Genomic DNA, 16,408 nt, shown 5'->3' on the forward strand with positions numbered 1-16,408 from the left:
GTGACTTTCCAGATGGGGAAACCGAGTCTTGGAGAAGTATGATGAACATTCTAAGGTAACACAGCAGAGCTTGGACCCCTACCTGGGCTTGTCTGAATCCATAGCTCTCAGGCGCTCTGCTACCCACCAGCCCTTACGGATGCCCAGCCTTCCACAGCATGGGCCTACTCACTCTTCCCTGAATACTATTCCATTAAGCTGAGCTTAACTGAACCCTGAGTGGCCCATTCCTCATCCCACCCTTTCCCACTTCAGGTCAGCCCCAACACTATCCTCGTTCACCCTGGTTGATTCCAGGCCATCAATATCTCATGTGTTAAGACCCTACTAGTTTTTCAGAAACCTTATAGTCCAACACCTGACTAAAAGTTCAATCGCCAATGGCCAAGGTCCAAATGTTAAATTCATTGTTCTTGCTGATTCAACAGCTCTGTAATTTCTAGTTTCCAAATGGTCCACATTTGGCAAAACGCAATTCAATTTAGAAAACAGTAAATGTGTGTTTGCTACCTGTAGAATCCTGTGGACACAAGTCAATATCAGATTTCCCATAAGTATATCATGGCTCAAAACTTTGATACCAAGAAAGGAAAATGATTCTAACATGATGATGGTAATGATAGTGATGAGAATGGTAACAATAATGGTGGCATTTATGGCAGTGGTGATGACATAGGTGTTAATAATAAAGATGATATGATGATAATGATGATGATAATGATAACTATAACAATAATGGTGGTGGTGATCATGGTGGTGATGGTAGAAATGATGGTAATGGTGATGATAATGATGATTGTGGTGATGATTACAGTGATAATAATGATGGGGGTGATGGTGATGACAATGGTGATGATGATGATGGTCATGATTATAACGATAATGGTAATGATGGTGATGGTGGTGATGGTGACGGTAATGATTTAGGGTGGTGGTTATGATAATGGGATGATGCTGATGATAATGATGATGATAAAATGATGACAGTGGTGATGATGATGATGATAGTGGTGATGGTGGTGATGGAGATGATCACAGTTGTTATGATAATGTGATGATCATGATGATAATAACAGTTATGACAAAAATGATGATGGTGGTGGTGATGATGATGAGGGTGATGGTGACAACAGTGGTGATGATGGTGGTGATGATGGTGGTGATGGTGATGATGGTCATGGTGATGGTGGTGATGATGATCGTGATGATGATGATGATAACAATGGTGATGGTGATAGTTAAATCCATGTACTGGGAACTCTACTTAATACTCATTATCACATTTAATATGACAATTATACTATTTACTCTTCCTAACACATCCATGGGAAAAGTGAAGCACATGAGGTTACGTCATCTGGTTGAAGTTACACAGTATGAGCAAGGAATCAAAACTCAATCCCAGGTATTCTGACTTCACAGCCTGTGCTTTAGACACCACTGCATGAGCAGACCTGGAAACGTGATCAGCCAGAAATACCAAATCCAATCGATTCATGTATTAAAAATGCATGGATCCCCCTCCGCATGAGGCACCTCTGGGGACAATGTCCGGAGTCAGACATTCTGAGCTCTCCAGATACAGACTATCCGCAGAGAAGCTCTAGAAGTCCTTCTTCCATTTCCCCACGGTGAGATCTCCTCACCTTCAGTGGGGGACTGACCCCAGCTCCCTGTGAAACCGTCCCTGATCCCTCGGCACTGAGCACCTGCCCCTCACTCCTCTGTGCTTCATGGCAGCAGTACTCAGCACCTCTAACCCAAAGGGGGGCCACCATGCTGCTTCTTCCACTGGGGGCTGGAGGGAGGGCCATACCATTCATGTTTCTGTGTTTCTAGCTCGGGCCCTGGTATCCACCCTTTTCCATGGTAAACCTGCTGAGCTGGGTAAAGGGGCCCATCACAAGAAGCTCTGTTCTCTGGAGCTCCCACTAGTCTGGAAAACAATGATCTAATAATAACAGCGCTTTCTCTCTGTGATGAATGCCGCCAGGGGAAGCTGTAGCTTGCAACAAGAACTTGAAATAAGCGACCTAACATAGTCAAGGGTGATCAGAAGGTTCTCTAGGGAGGGCACATCTAGGCTCAGCCCTAGAAAATGTGCTGGAGTCAACCAAAAAGATCATGGAGCTAGTACAAAAAACATTTTGAAGGAAGGAAGGGAGGGGAGGCAGGACTTTGAGAGTGTGGCCTAAACTCTTTAAAAAGTACTCTGGGCCAGGAATGGTGGCTCACACCTGTAATCCCAGCACTTTGGGAGGCCGAGGCAGGTGGATCACTTGAGGTCAGGAGTTCAAGACCAGCCTGGCCAACATGGTGAAACCCTGTATCTACTAAAAATAAAAATAAAATAAAAAATTAAAAATAGCCAGGTGTGGTGGGAGGCACCTGTAATCCCAGCTACTCATGAGGCTAAGGCAGGAGAATCACTTGAACCCAGAAGGCGGGGTTTGCAGTGAGCTGAGATTGCACCATTGCACTCCAGCCTGGACAACAAGAGCAAAACTCTGTCTCATAAAAAGGAAGAAGGAGAAGAAGAGGAAGGAGAAGGGGAGGAGAAGGAGGAGGAGAAGAAGGAGAAGAAGAAGAAGGGGGAGGAGGAGGAGGAGGAGGAAGGGAGGGGAAGGAGAAAGGGAAGAAGAAGAGGAAGAAGAAGAAGGAGAAGAAGAAGAAGAACAACAACAACAACAACAACAACTCTGAGCCATCCCAACCTCAAATCTAGGTGATTTCTAGGAGAAAATGGGTTGATCTGGGGTAGTGATATTGATCACATAATCTCGAGTCCACCCAACACAGGTTCTAATCTCAGATGCCTCCTTTAACCACGTGATCTTGAGCATTATAATGAACCCCTGCACCTGTCAGTTTCTTCCCTGTAAAATGGGAATAATAATGACCCCATCCATGGAGATTAAATGAAGAAACGCATGTAAAAAGCATGCCAAGTACCTGCCAAATAGTGAAACTTCAAATAATAAGAAGTGGGCATGGTGACCCCTTTGCTGTCACAGGCCTAAGCTGTGGCTAGCCCTGCTGGATAGGGGGATGGGGGCAGCAGCCCTGCCTCATCAGGTGGTGGTGATGATGGTCATGATGATGACGATGGACAAGACATTGAACCAGGGCATATCAGACTCACTGCCATGCCGATGACCCACAGTATTTCTCTCCTCGTTCCTGTGGCTTCTGTCTTTACGGCATTTCATGTTATTTCTCAAAATCACCAACAAGAAGAGCCCAGAGGGGGTGAGTGAGTCAACAAATGGGTGCGGGTGGAGGGGGCTTTGCTGGTCACAGCCAGCACCGCAGACGGATCCACGGTGACCCTTTTGGCAACCGGCCACGTAGGGCCAGATGGGCGGCACAGGGAGGTGTGTTGTGCCGTTTAACTCTCCATTCCTTACACATGGAGTCTCATGATGTTCGCTTTTGTTGGATTCAAAATGGAAATGACCTGACTTTCTGGCCGATGAGAACTGGCTTGAAACGCAGGCTCCATCCCACGCAGGTTTGATGGGTTTTGTTCTTCTCTATACTCATCTAATTATTCCACAGAAGCTTACTGAGCATGTGCTCCATGCCAGCCCTGTTCCCACCCGTGTGCACGATAGAAACGGGCCAGCCCTCATGAGCTTCTAGCCTGGGGAGCGCCCATATGGTAACCCATCATAAATAACAGTGAAATGCACACAGCATGCGGTAAGAAGGTATAATCGTGGTGTGAACCCTGTCCGCTCATAATGAAAAATCTGACATTGGTTGGATAGGTAGAAGCTGAAGAAGATATGGGGGGATGGAAGATGGTGGAGACGTCACAGCTGCACAGAACAGTAGGACCCACTGGGCCCATTGAACAGAAGAGGGGGACCGGGGATGACAAAGAACAATTAATTCCACGGAATAGGGTCACATTTCTTTTTATTTTTTTTTCTTTTTTGAAATGGAGTCTCACACTGTCTCCCAGGCTGGAGTGCAGTGGCGCAATCTCAGCTCATTGCAGTCTCTGCCTCCGGGGTTCAAGCGATTCTCCTGCCTCGACCTCCCTAGTAGCTGGGATTACAGGCATGCATCACCACACTGGGCTTTAAAAAAAAATAGAACTCTCTGGAGGTCTCTGCACAAGTTATACCTCCAGTATTGGAAATGACATGGAGATGAAATAAACAGTGGTGCCATGTGTGAAGAGGCAGGAGTCCTACACCACTGAACGGTTTGGCAGAAGAGATGCCTCACATTTGTTGCCAGCCTTTTGGCTCCTGTGATCTTCAAGACACTTGCCGCATGTGTGTCTGCGCAGTGGCTGTGGTCTGCAAATTGTGTAAGTGTTTGCTGTTCATTCAAAAGCCCAGTTATTCCTCAGTCGTTGCAATTAGGCAATTTTCTGCTTTTGAGGCACCGATAATAATTAGCTTCTAAACGTTTATCTTCCACTGTTGAGTAGCATCGTCCACTTAAGTGACCGCAGCCTTTTTGCGAGGGAACAATTTTGCAGGTCCCTTCTACTAGGTTGTAAGGAATACAGTAAGAAAAACGAATATTCAGCTTCTCCGATATCAAATCTGTATGATTCAGGGTGCTCTAGAAAGACAGACCAATAAGATACGAATACCTATATATGAGAGAGAATTTATTAGGGGAATTGGCTCACACAATTATGGTGGTTGGTAAGTCCCACAACAGGCCGTCTGCAAGCTGGATACCCTGAGAAGCCGGCAGTGTGGCCCAGCCCAAGTCAAAAGGCCTCAGAACCAGGGGAGCTGCTGGTAACTCTCAGTTTGAGGCCAAAAGCCTCAGGACCTGGGGCCTAAGCTATAAGTCCTGGAGTCCAAGCCAGCACGCCTGGAGTTCTGATGTCCAGGGCAGGAGAAGAAAAATCTGTCCCAGCTCTCGGAGAGAGACCAGTTCACCTTCCACATCACCTTCCACACGTGTTCTCTGCAGGCCCTGGCCAATGGGATGGTGCTCACCGACGTGGAGGGCAAATCTTCCGTGCGCAGTCCACCCAGATGCACACACCCATCTCCCCTGGAAAAACCCTCACAGACACACCCACCACATTTCTAGGTATTCCTTAGTCCAGAGAGGTTGACATCTAAAATTAAGGCTGTAAGTCCACTCCTTGTCCACTCAGCACTCATATGTGTCTCTTTAAACCATATTGATTTTCAGATAATGACAGTAGCAAGGTAGTAGTTCTCCCTGATTAACACAATGCAACGACCCTACATACAACCGAAAACACACCAATCCCTTCCCCAGAATGTGGCTTTCAGGATTGCAGCCATTTGGGATTTTAACCTTTTGGGATTGTGACTTTGGGACTATGATTTGCACTAGTGGGTGTGTGTGTGAGAGAGAGAGAGAAACAATTAGCTGAAGGGAAATAAGAAGATTTCTGTTTATTGTTTGGTTTCCATTTCTCTTTGGTTTGTTTCCATTAAGTTGAAGACACTCGTGTACAAAAACTAACAGGAATGATCTAGTTGAAGCCTTGTCTCGGAAAAATTATTTGCCTTCACTTAGTTTCAAATTCCATGTGGGTAAAATTAAAATAATCATACTTAACTCAAGGAGCTTTACTAGAAATTAAACACGTGTATATCACTCACAGATCTTAGGAGCAGACATTCAGTTAATGGTGCAATTATTATTCAGATCATTCTTAGTATGTCTTACCTACCAGACTGAAAACAATACAAGCGCAGGGATGTGGCTCATAGATATTTTATTAATTTTAACTTTTTATTATCATATAGTAAAATGGGCTGTTTTGGGGTATACTTCAATGAGTTTTAGTATGTATGGATTCATTTGACCACCACCACAATCAGAACACAGGACAAGTCCATCACCCCCAAAATTCTCATGTTGTGTCTCTTCACAGTCATAGCTCTTTAAACCTTAACCCTGACAACTAGTGATCAGCTCTCCATTGCTGTAGGTTTGTCTTATTTGGAACATCACACAAATGGAATCACACATAATACGTAACTATTTAATACTGGCTTCTTTCACTCGGCAGAATGTCTCTGAGATTCGCCCAGGTGGTATGTACATCAGTCATTCATTCCTTTTCAATGCTAAGTAGTATTCCATTCCACAGCCGAAGTTTGTTTAACCATGCACCTGTTCAAGGGTATTTAGTTAGTTTGCTCCCATATATCCTGTTTGGTGAACTGTTTTAGGTTTTGAACAATGATGAATCGATATAAAAACATTTATCTAGAGATCTATATGTGGACAAAAAATTCTCAGTCCACTTGGGTAAATACCTAGGACTGGAATCAATAGGTCATGTGGCAAGTGAATGTTCAGCTTTAGAAGGGGCTGTGAAACTATTTTCTAGAGTGGTCCTCACCATCTCACATCCTACCAGCAATGTCTGAAAGTTCTATTTTCTCTACATCCTTGTCAGCACTTAGTACTGTCAGTATTCTTTATTTTAGCCATTCTAATAACTATGTACTGCTGCCTCAAGATGTTTTAATGCAGATTTCCCAAATCAAATGCTAATGATATCCAAGAACATACTTTGTTTAACTTCTTTCCAACTTATTAAGGTTTGTTTTCTGACTCAGGGCACAGTCTATGTTAGGGAATTTTCCACGTGTACTAGAAAATAATGAGTATTCTGCTGATATTGGAAGATTACAAAAATCATACAATAAAAAGTTACTAGACAAGAAAAGAGGCAAGAAACTATGATGGGTGATCAGGAGAAAAAACATATATGATAGAAGTAGACCCACATGAGATCCTTATACTGGAGTTAACAGACAAGATTTTAAAATAATTGTCATTACCCATGTTTAAGAACATAGAGAAAATGGATGAAAAAAATGGAGACCCAAAATTCATTAGTGTTCCCCCAAAATTCATTTGTTGAAATCCTCACCCCCCAGGCGGTAGTGTTAGGAGGTGGGGCCTTTGGGAAGTGATGAGATCATGAGGGTGGGGCCCCCATGAACGGTATTAGTGCCCTAGAAAAGGGACCCTGGAGGGCTCCCTTGCCCCTTCCACTATATGAGGACACAGAGAGAAGGCACCATCTATGAACCAGGAAGCGGGTCCTCACCAGACACTGATCTATGAACCGGGAAGCAGATCTTCACCAGATACTGATCTATGAAGCAGGAAGCAGATCCTCACCAGACACTGATCTGTGAACCAGGAAGTGGGTCCTCACCAGACACTGATCAGTGAACCAGGAAGTGGGTCCTCACCAGACACTGATCTATGAAGAGGAAGTGGGTCCTCATGAGACACTGATCTGTGAACCAGGAAGTGGGTCCTCACCAGACACTGATCAGTGAACCAGGAAGTGGGTCCTCACCAGACACTGATCTATGAAGAGGAAGTGGGTCCTCATGAGACACTGATCTGTGAACCAGGAAGTGGGTCCTCACCAGACACTGATCAGTGAACCAGGAAGTGGGTCCTCACCAGACACTGATCAGTGAACCAGGAAGTGGGTCCTCACCAGACACTGATCAGTGAACCAGGAAATGGGTCCTCACCAGACACTGATCTGTCAGCCAGGAAGTGGGTCCTCATGAGACACTGATCTGTCAACTAGGAAACAGGTCCTCACCAGACACCATATCTGCTGCAGCCTTGCCTTGGACCTCCAGCTTCCGTAATTGTGGGAAATAAACTTCCGTTGCATATAAGCCCCCAGCCTATGGTATTTTTTACAGCAGCATTAAACAAACCAATACAGTGGCCATCCCCTTTATAACTGTATATTTTGTGCTGCAACTAAATTGTGATTTTACTGACTGTAAAAAGAGTGTAAAGACTTCATGCAATTCCTAAAGTAAAAAAAAATCCAGGCCACTTTAGCATTCCCTGGCGGCTTTGCAATGAATCCCATCTTTTGCTCAGCGCACCAGCGATTCAGCAAAGGGTTGAAGTTGTCTCTTGCCTTCTCATCTCTAAATCTATGCCAGATCAAATGGGCACAATAAATACCAGCACTTTTGAGCCAGAGACTCAGAGTAATTGCATTACAGGCCTGGCCAGCCCAAATGTTTGGGGATCTGGGATAAATAAAAAAGAAATAGCTTGCGAAGTGATCTCCAGTGTTCCATTCCTGGACTGTGCAGAACCCTGCTATTCTATTTGCATGATTTAGCGAAAGGAGGTTTCATTGATATGTAAATAGTAATGCAAGTAGTTTACATTGGAAAACAAAAGCCGGGAGCACTGCCTATTATATTTTATAGCCGTTTGACTACAGCCTTTGTTGCTGCCAGAAAACACAACAGCAATTATGCTGGACCTACAATTTAAATAACTCTGGCTCACACAAGTGTTTCAGGAATAACATTTAACAATGGAATTACTTTGCCATTTGCATATGGTGTTCTTGTTTGAAGGTGTATTCTGAATTTATTGGGCATTTTTATTAGCCCGCAGTGTTGAGTTGGTATGCGGATCTTGTAGAGAGAAAAAGGTCTTCGGCAGAGAAGACTCTGAGTGCATGAAGATAAATGGCACCCGCTGTTTCAGAAGGTGGCTTAGAAGGACGGCTCTGAGTGCACATGTTTCATTATTATGGGATAGAGAGGACATCCGTGGCATATTCAGACCTCTGTGAGGGTGTCCAGATGACCCCCGTACTTCTTAGACTCTACTCCTCGAAGAGCGCCACTGGTCTGAGCTGCAAGTAAGGATCTGTGGAGGACAGGCTTGTGGGTATTAGACACTTGTATTCATGACCCAGAGTCCTGTGCCAGCTGCACGAAGCAGGTGAAATCACCTTTGCAGAAATTTTATCAGTGTGAAAATTATGACAGTGAAAGAGATCGATGTCACCCACCCCACTCTTGCCTTTAGCTCTCAAGCTGCCTTAATTAGTCCTGGGCTTAGACCTAACTAACTTTGGAAGACCTTTAGGTTATAGTTTAAATGATAATAGGCTTTCCCCAAAGTTCAGTAGCTTTTGCCTTTGTAAAGCTAATGAGAGAGCCTCCCGCTAGGTGAAGGAGAGGCACCTGAGTCCTGCTAAGACGCAGGCATAAAGGATTACCAGCCATTATGCTAGAGGTCACAGAATATCCGACTTCACCAATTACTCCCGCAGATAACACCACTAGAGTAGAACCTAAGATGGGTCTTTTGAGATATCTTTTCAGGTTTTTTTTGCATGTCTGACCTACATGGTTTCCACCTGGAACTGCCAACCACTCCTGTGGCCCCACCCACAGGCAACTCAACTCTAGAGGACAGTTCCCACCCACTACGATTTCATCTCCACCCCAGCCAATGAGCAGCAAGCACCCATTTTCCAGCTACCTCAGCTTCCACCCCCTGTGATTTTACCCCAGCCAATCAGCAGCAAGCACCCATTTCCCAGCTACCCCAACTCCCATTCCCTATTATTTCATCTCCATCCCAGCAAATCAGCAGCAAGCACCCATTTCCCAGCTAGCCCAGCTCCTTCCCCCAAACTACCTTTGAAAAACCCCTAATCCAGGAGCCTCAGTGAGATCAATTTGAGTAATAACTCTGTCTTCCACATGGTGTGGCTGGCCTTGCCTCAATTAAACTCTTTCCTTACAGCAATGCTGTAGTCTTTATTTGCACAGTGGGCAGAAAGTGTCCCGGGACAACTCTCATCCCCACCTAGGGAGGTGGGGTGTCCCCTTATCTTTGAGGTTCTTTCCTTTAAACATGCATGCATTTTTCCCTACTCGAAGCCATGTCGATTCTAGAGAAATAGGACACTGCAGAAACAAAGGCGAACGTGGCCCAGGCTCCCTCCTGACGAGCCTCGGCTTTCCCGGGTCCCTGCCTCATGTGAAGACCTAGAACTGTTCTCGTCCTGCCCCTTCCTTTTCATGTGTTTTTCCAACTCCATCTTCTCCTCATGTCCACCAGCTCCTGGGTTCTCCAGAATGTGTGCAGTGTGCATGCGGCGAGGGACCCCGTTTGGCATCCAGCACCCCCACTGCTGGAAAAAGCAGCATCCCCCTTCTTGGGGGCCCCATGCTCCCTGCCCACCCTGTTCGGAAGCAGCTGCCAGTTCAGGACTCACACTTCCTCTCCACACGCCAGGAGGACATCATGACACTCAGGGGAGCTGGTGAGGAAAATGCTTCTCTGCAAACAAGCCCATATTGGACATGGCAAGACAGTCACTTTGCAGGGGACGATGGGAGAATGGGATCATGGCAGCCCTTCCAGCAAGCTCCGCCTTATCTTAGAGAGAATGCCCCTCCCCTGCCCCCAGTCCAAACAGTGTCTGCGCTCTGGAACACGGAACCACTGCACCAGGGCAGCCCTAAATGGCTTGATTTCCGTCCTTTAAAAACCTTCTCAGCTGAGCCCAGTTAATTACAAAACTAGTTCACACTCTGTTATTTTGATTTGCCTCCGCCTTCCAGGCTGAGTGATTAGGCAGAGACTTTCAGGAGCAGCAGAGCGTGGCCTGAGGTCCCTGTCTGCCTCATCGCTTTCAAAAGGAGTACCAGCAGCAGGCGGGCTCCATCCAGGCCGGCAGCCAGGATCAGCTCGCCAGGCCCACCACATTCATGCCTGGAAACTGTTACATAGACATAGCCCCACACATTAATTAGCAATTAAAAACTTTATTTATAAAATCAATTCATGGATACACATCTTGTTAAAATGCAAACTATTATTTCCAGATGACTTTTAAATAAGAAACAAACAGAAATGATATAGCCTGACAGTGCAGGGTGCCAAGAACATCTTCAACAACAATTTGCTGAATATTAATGAACTGAAAATGTCATTTCTGGTCCAACTACTAGAAGTAATTAGTTTTTTTTAATTACGGAGGAAGTGGAATTTTAATAAGGTCAATTTTACAATTACAGTTTTAGAAATACTAATTGTATTGTCATCATATCTTATATAATAAATGACATTAACTTGCTAACATCTGTTGATTTTAATGTAAATAAAGCAAAAAAATCATTGCATTGAGTTCTTTAGGGAGTGACATTTTATTAATAATGAGAGCAAGATTGTGGACAGCATCGGAGACAGGTTGGACCATGCGGGATCCCCCAAGAGGGCGTGAAGGTAACACAGAAGGCCTGCTGGCAATGCTTTCTGAATTTCCTCATCAGCAGCCATGGAGGGAGGAATTGTGCAATACTTTTTCTGACATGCCATGAACATAAGCCTCTACAAATACCAGCTTCAAATTCAAACTTGAGCCTGAGCTGAAGGACAATAGCAAGATCCCACTCTGACGTTCGTTCTGTCTCCCCCTGCAGGAAGCGACTCCTGAACATCTGGCATACACGTACACTGGTTTCCTATCCCTCACCAAGCACATAAATGAATCCCGCCTCTCCTCCTCACGAGCTCAAAGTGACAAGGCAGAGGTGCCTCTCCTCCTCCGATCGCCACAGCCTGTCTTTCTCAGTCACAAAACTGCAGGGATGCTAAATCCTGAAGTCCCTAAATACCTCCCCATCCAACTGATGCCAACCCACTGACTCTCCCCAGCAGTGCTCTGTTCAGTCAAGTTAAATCATCTTTGCCCTGAAATTGATATTCCAATGGCTTAAGCTAACCCCTCCTCCATAGTTCCACCCTTCCTAATGTTAATTCTTTTGATTCCATGGAATAAAAAGCATAAAATCTCACTCAGGTAGCCCACAAAGCTCATCAGCCTCCAAGGCAGAGACCTATGCACGAATGTGTCCCATACAGTGCTGTATGCTACAGGCTCATCAGGGCCACATGGCACCCCTCAGGGAAGTCATAGTTCCAGTATAGATGGTCCTGTTCAATGCTAGCATTAATGCTAATTATAAAGGACTATACATTATTAATAACACTCATGTCTTATCTAATAACAACAATAAAAGTAACTTGCCACTTACCGAACATCTATTATATGCCAAGACATAGGCATTTTAATAGGCATTTTATTTATTCTTCAAGACCCTTGGATGTTTCAATAAAGGATTTACATAAATGTACTGATACTGAAGTAAACTCAATTCTTCTCAGTTCTGTTCAATAAGTAAAATAATATAGAGTTTTAAGTAAAAAGCCATAGAAGTGAAAGATATTTGGACCCCACCATCCAGTTCCTTCATTTTACAGATGAGGGAGCAAGGACCCAAAGAGATGAAACTGTCCCCACATTTCCTGTGCTGCGACTTTGGACTAAGAGTAGATCTGTTTTGAGTGAAGAGGGGAATGGGAGGGAGAGAGGGAGGAGGGATGGGTCTTGACCTCCGGATTCTATGCCTGATCCAGCCCTTCCTGTTTTTTCCTGCCCCACCCTTCCCTAAAAAGCCCCTTTCCATTTTACTCAGGGACAGTCATCTGGGGTTACTGCCCTCCCGTCCCCTCCTAAGAGTGGCATTGTGATGACGGCTGCAGACGCTCAGCCCCTCGCGTGGCTCACAGTGTCTCGCACCCCAGTCCATTTCTGAATCCAATAGCTGGGAGAGGTGGGTACCGCAACAATTCTCAACTCTGCTGAATAATTTTGTGCCCCTTGGCCCTGGCCACCGCATCTCATTAGGCATCAGGCTCCAGGCCTTACCGAGAGCTCTCACTGCTCCCAACTCCTCTTAGAGCCCCCGGCTCTGTGGGAAGCCCAGGAAACCACAGGCAGCAGGTTCACCTCTGGCTGGAGGCCCAAACCCTGCTGACCCACAGGGTTCAGATTCTAGTCCAGGTGGGCTCCCCATGCAGGTGTGAGGCACCATCCCATCTCAGCCACACCTGAGCCAGACCGAAGACAGGAAGGGAGGCACACCTGCCCTGGGGCAGCTCTGCTTCCTTTGATCCCTCGGTCCCCAAGAAGCACAGACCACTGCCCCATAGCCTCTCTGCTCCTGCCACAGCACTGGCACAGGACGACCCTGAAGGACTTCCACACCCAGTCCATGGAGTAAGGGACAGGACCAGACGCCATCTGAGGGACAAAGTCCCCGAGCCCCGATGCCTGGGCGCAGAGCTGGAGACTCGGCTTCTTCTTCGACCTCCCCGGCCACTTCCCAACACCACATCACCTCAACGCAGCTATAAGGCACGTCCCGTCATTGCCCCCGTTTTAGAGCTGAGAAACATGAGGACCAGAGAATCAAGGCTGTCTGAGCCAGAGGGCGCCTCGCTGGCCCCTACCCCAAAACAGCACCCGCCCTGCCCTGGTCATTACTGCCCCCCAACCTTAACCACCCTCCCCACTGCCCTACAGAAGACCCTTAGAAGGGGGCTGACTGATGGACCATGGTGAAGGCCAGCCTGGCCTCCTTCAGCCACAGTGTGAAGCGCAGTTCACCAAAACTGGAAACTGCCATGCATCCCGGTGTCATCAAACACCACAGCAAAAGAGCCAGGTGAACGCACGGAACATCAAGCCGCAACCCTCCACACCTCTCTGTATAACCTTCGCGGCCACTGCCCCCGTGCCTGCAGAGCGGGTTTGCAGGAGACGTCATCCGAATGGATAAATGTCCGTCGGAGCTGGGGATCATCCTCCCAGAGTTTCAGCAGCTCAGAGAAGGCCAGCAACTCACCGAGCCATGCCACAGCGTGCAAGCACAGCGGCCCGGCCCTCCTGCATTCTGTCATGCACTGCGTGTCATCTTATTAAAGGATCCAACGCAGGCTCATAAAATACTTAATGAAAACATGCCACCAGGTGCACGTCCTGGAAGAGCCTGAAGACACTTTTTGCGCCCGAGGTCCTCCCCACCGTGCCACACCCCCAGGCGAGGACACATACCTTCAGGGGGACAGCTTGCAGTCGTTAAAACAGCTTATGGGTGTTTGTTACATCCTTGGGGATGTCTTGTTGAATTTTAATTACCTAGATTAAGATCTATTGATATAATTATTGAGATATATAAAAGTTTTATTTAAACGTGGATAGGCCAGAAATGAATGCTCCAGGGACAATAAGTGACTTTACTACCTGGCTCTCAGAGGTGCCTGTAGGACGGGGCGGGGAACACCACAGCCCAAGGACGCCCCTGGAGCGTGACCTCCCCTGGACCCAGAGTTCCCGGGAAGCCCCTCTGGGCGGAAGCATGTGGGGCGTAGGGCACAAGCCACAGAAACAGTCCACACGGCAGCCCCCCACCGCCCCCCCGCACCAGGCTCCCCGGGGGAAAACCTCACATCCTCACAGTCCTCTTAGCTAACGGCCTTCGCCGTACACACCCCGAAGGTAAGAACGCCTCATGTGCAGAGAAGCTTGCCCCAGCAGCCCAGCAGCGCATCTGGAAAGCGGTGGGGCTGGGATTTCAGCCCCCGCAGGTTCCCGGCCCCCGTAGGATTTGCTTATCTGTGGCACTGCCTTTCTCCCCGATGAGGGCCCTGCCTTTCTCTCACCTCACTGATGTCTCCGTGCAGGGCAGTGCTGAGGGCCTTCTCTTAATGGTCAATCACTCACCCCTCACAAACAGAGTTAACACAGCTGATGCACATGCAGCCCAGTGGAACGAAGGACTGTTTCAGTTTTTTTAACTAAAAATTTTATGCAGAAATTTTAGAAATTTCCAGAAATTGGAAGAGTGATGACCAAATAAGCAGGAGGATCCACCTCTAGCATAGCACAAAATTCAGGTGCGTTGGAGATTTCAGGGAAGAAACCAACACGGAGGAGCATTTAGCAAGAAACGCGGGAACAATACGTGTGACTCGGGGTGAGGCGAGGTTTCTCCACCTCAGGGCCACACAAAACTTAAGGCATGAAGGAAATATTGATAACCAATCAGTGCGATAGCACAAAATCAAGATGTCCTGTTTGACAAAAGACAAATGAAGTAAAAAGATAAGCTACAGAATAAGAGAAGATATTTTCCATCTGTGTCAATACAAAAGGAATAGTCTCCAGAATGGACCAAAAAATCCTTGCACATTGCTCAGAAAAAGACAAGTAGCTTCGCAGAAAAATGGGTAAAGAATGTGAAGAGACGATTCACAAAGAGAAAAGCTGAGTTTCGAGCAGCACTGAAAAGACGCGTGAACTCCATCACAGTCTGACCGGCAGCCCAGAAGATTCACAGCTGGAAGCGGCCGATGACCCCAAGTGCCGGCTGCCAACTGCGTGCACTGGTTTCCGACCCGTAAATCAGTGAAGCCCTTTCCAAACAAACCTCGGTACTAAATTCTGGAGTTGAACATGTGTTTTCCCTACAACTCAGCAATTTATTTCTAGATACGTCCTCTGTGGAAATCCTCCCTTGTGTATACAGAGGTTCATACAAGAATCTTCATTAGTTCCTTGTGATAAAAAAAAAAAAAAACTTTAAAATAACCCAGTATCCACGGCAGAGAATGAATCAGCAAGTTAACTCGTAGTGGAAGATGAACCGGAGTACAGGAGTGAGAACTAATGCCGTAGATACACGTGTCCATGTGGGTAAACCTACAGAACAGACTCTTGAGTGAAAACCATACAGAAACTATGAAATGTATTAAACGTATATAAACAGTCCCAAAAACGTTTACAAAATGCAAAATAATTTTTAAAATTCTAGAGATTCTTCTAAGAAAAATGTAAAGAGGGGCCGGGTGTGGTGGCTCACACCTGTAATCCCAGCACTTTGGGAGGTTGAGGCGGATGGATCACTTGAGGTCAGGAGTTCAAGACCAGCCTGGCCAACATGGTGAAACCCCATCTCTACTAAAAGTACAAAAAATAGCTGGCTGTGGTGGTGGGTGCCTGTAATCCCAGCTACTCGGGAGGCTGAGGCAGGAAAATTGCTTGAACCTGGGAGGCGGATGTTGTAGTGAGCCAAGATCGCACCACTGCACTCCAGCCTGGGCAACAGAACAAGACTCTGTCTTAAAAAAAAAAAAAAAAAAGAGGAATTATTGGCTATTACCTTAAAGACAATGGCTTCCTCTGGAGAGAAAAGAGGAGAACTATGACATTGCCAGGTATATTATTGTCTATTGTTGTGTAACAAACTGCAGCCACCTTGCAGCTGGAACAACTCCTCTATGTTTATTCCCTCACAGCCTCTGTGGGTCAGGAGTCCAAGTGTGGCTCACCTGGGCCCTCAGCTCAGCATCTCACACGGCTGCAATCATATGTCATCCGGGCTGTGGCCTCATCTGGAGGCTTGGCTGGGGAGGAATCCCTTTCCCAGTCCACATGGATTACTGGAAGAATTCACATTATTTGTAGGATTGAGCGCCATACTTTATTGCTGACTGTTGGCTGGAGGTGGCTCTCCACTCTCCAGCTTCCTTCACCCCCTGGAGGATTCCAGCAGCCCCCAGAGCCCACCCACAGTCCCCTGTCCTGTGGACTTTCTTGATGTAGCCCCGTGCCCCATAAGGGTAGCAAGGGGCATCTCTAGAGCAAGGCAGGCAGCAAGGCAGAGTCTTGTTCACGTAACGTGAAGCAGTGCCATCACCTCACCTTCACCATGTGCTGCAGGCAAAGTACAGG

At 46.6% G+C, this 16,408-nt stretch overlaps 1 long non-coding RNA gene across 2 annotated transcripts in view, besides 3 other annotated features; it reads right to left on the minus strand.

Annotated features, from left to right (window-relative positions):
* MIR3667HG (MIR3667 host gene) overlaps positions 1–16,408 on the minus strand; it is a 242,996-nt gene that overhangs the window by 89,956 nt on the left and 136,632 nt on the right. The window lies entirely within an intron of this gene.
* Positions 7,725–8,479: an enhancer, noted in NCBI's record as "NANOG-H3K27ac hESC enhancer chr22:49905853-49906607 (GRCh37/hg19 assembly coordinates)". NCBI's record gives its function as "activates a minimal SCP1, AML or CMV promoter by ChIP-STARR-seq in naive H9 embryonic stem cells {active_cell/tissue: H9 hESC(naive)}" and the evidence as "EXISTENCE:reporter gene assay evidence [ECO:0000049][PMID:30033119]".
* Positions 8,584–9,110: an enhancer, noted in NCBI's record as "NANOG hESC enhancer chr22:49906712-49907238 (GRCh37/hg19 assembly coordinates)". NCBI's record gives its function as "activates a minimal SCP1, AML or CMV promoter by ChIP-STARR-seq in naive H9 embryonic stem cells {active_cell/tissue: H9 hESC(naive)}" and the evidence as "EXISTENCE:reporter gene assay evidence [ECO:0000049][PMID:30033119]".
* Positions 9,637–10,162: an enhancer, noted in NCBI's record as "H3K4me1 hESC enhancer chr22:49907765-49908290 (GRCh37/hg19 assembly coordinates)". NCBI's record gives its function as "activates a minimal SCP1, AML or CMV promoter by ChIP-STARR-seq in naive H9 embryonic stem cells {active_cell/tissue: H9 hESC(naive)}" and the evidence as "EXISTENCE:reporter gene assay evidence [ECO:0000049][PMID:30033119]".

This window comes from Homo sapiens, chromosome 22 (assembly GCF_000001405.40).
Source record: "Homo sapiens chromosome 22, GRCh38.p14 Primary Assembly".
Taxonomy (NCBI): domain Eukaryota; kingdom Metazoa; phylum Chordata; class Mammalia; order Primates; family Hominidae; genus Homo; species Homo sapiens.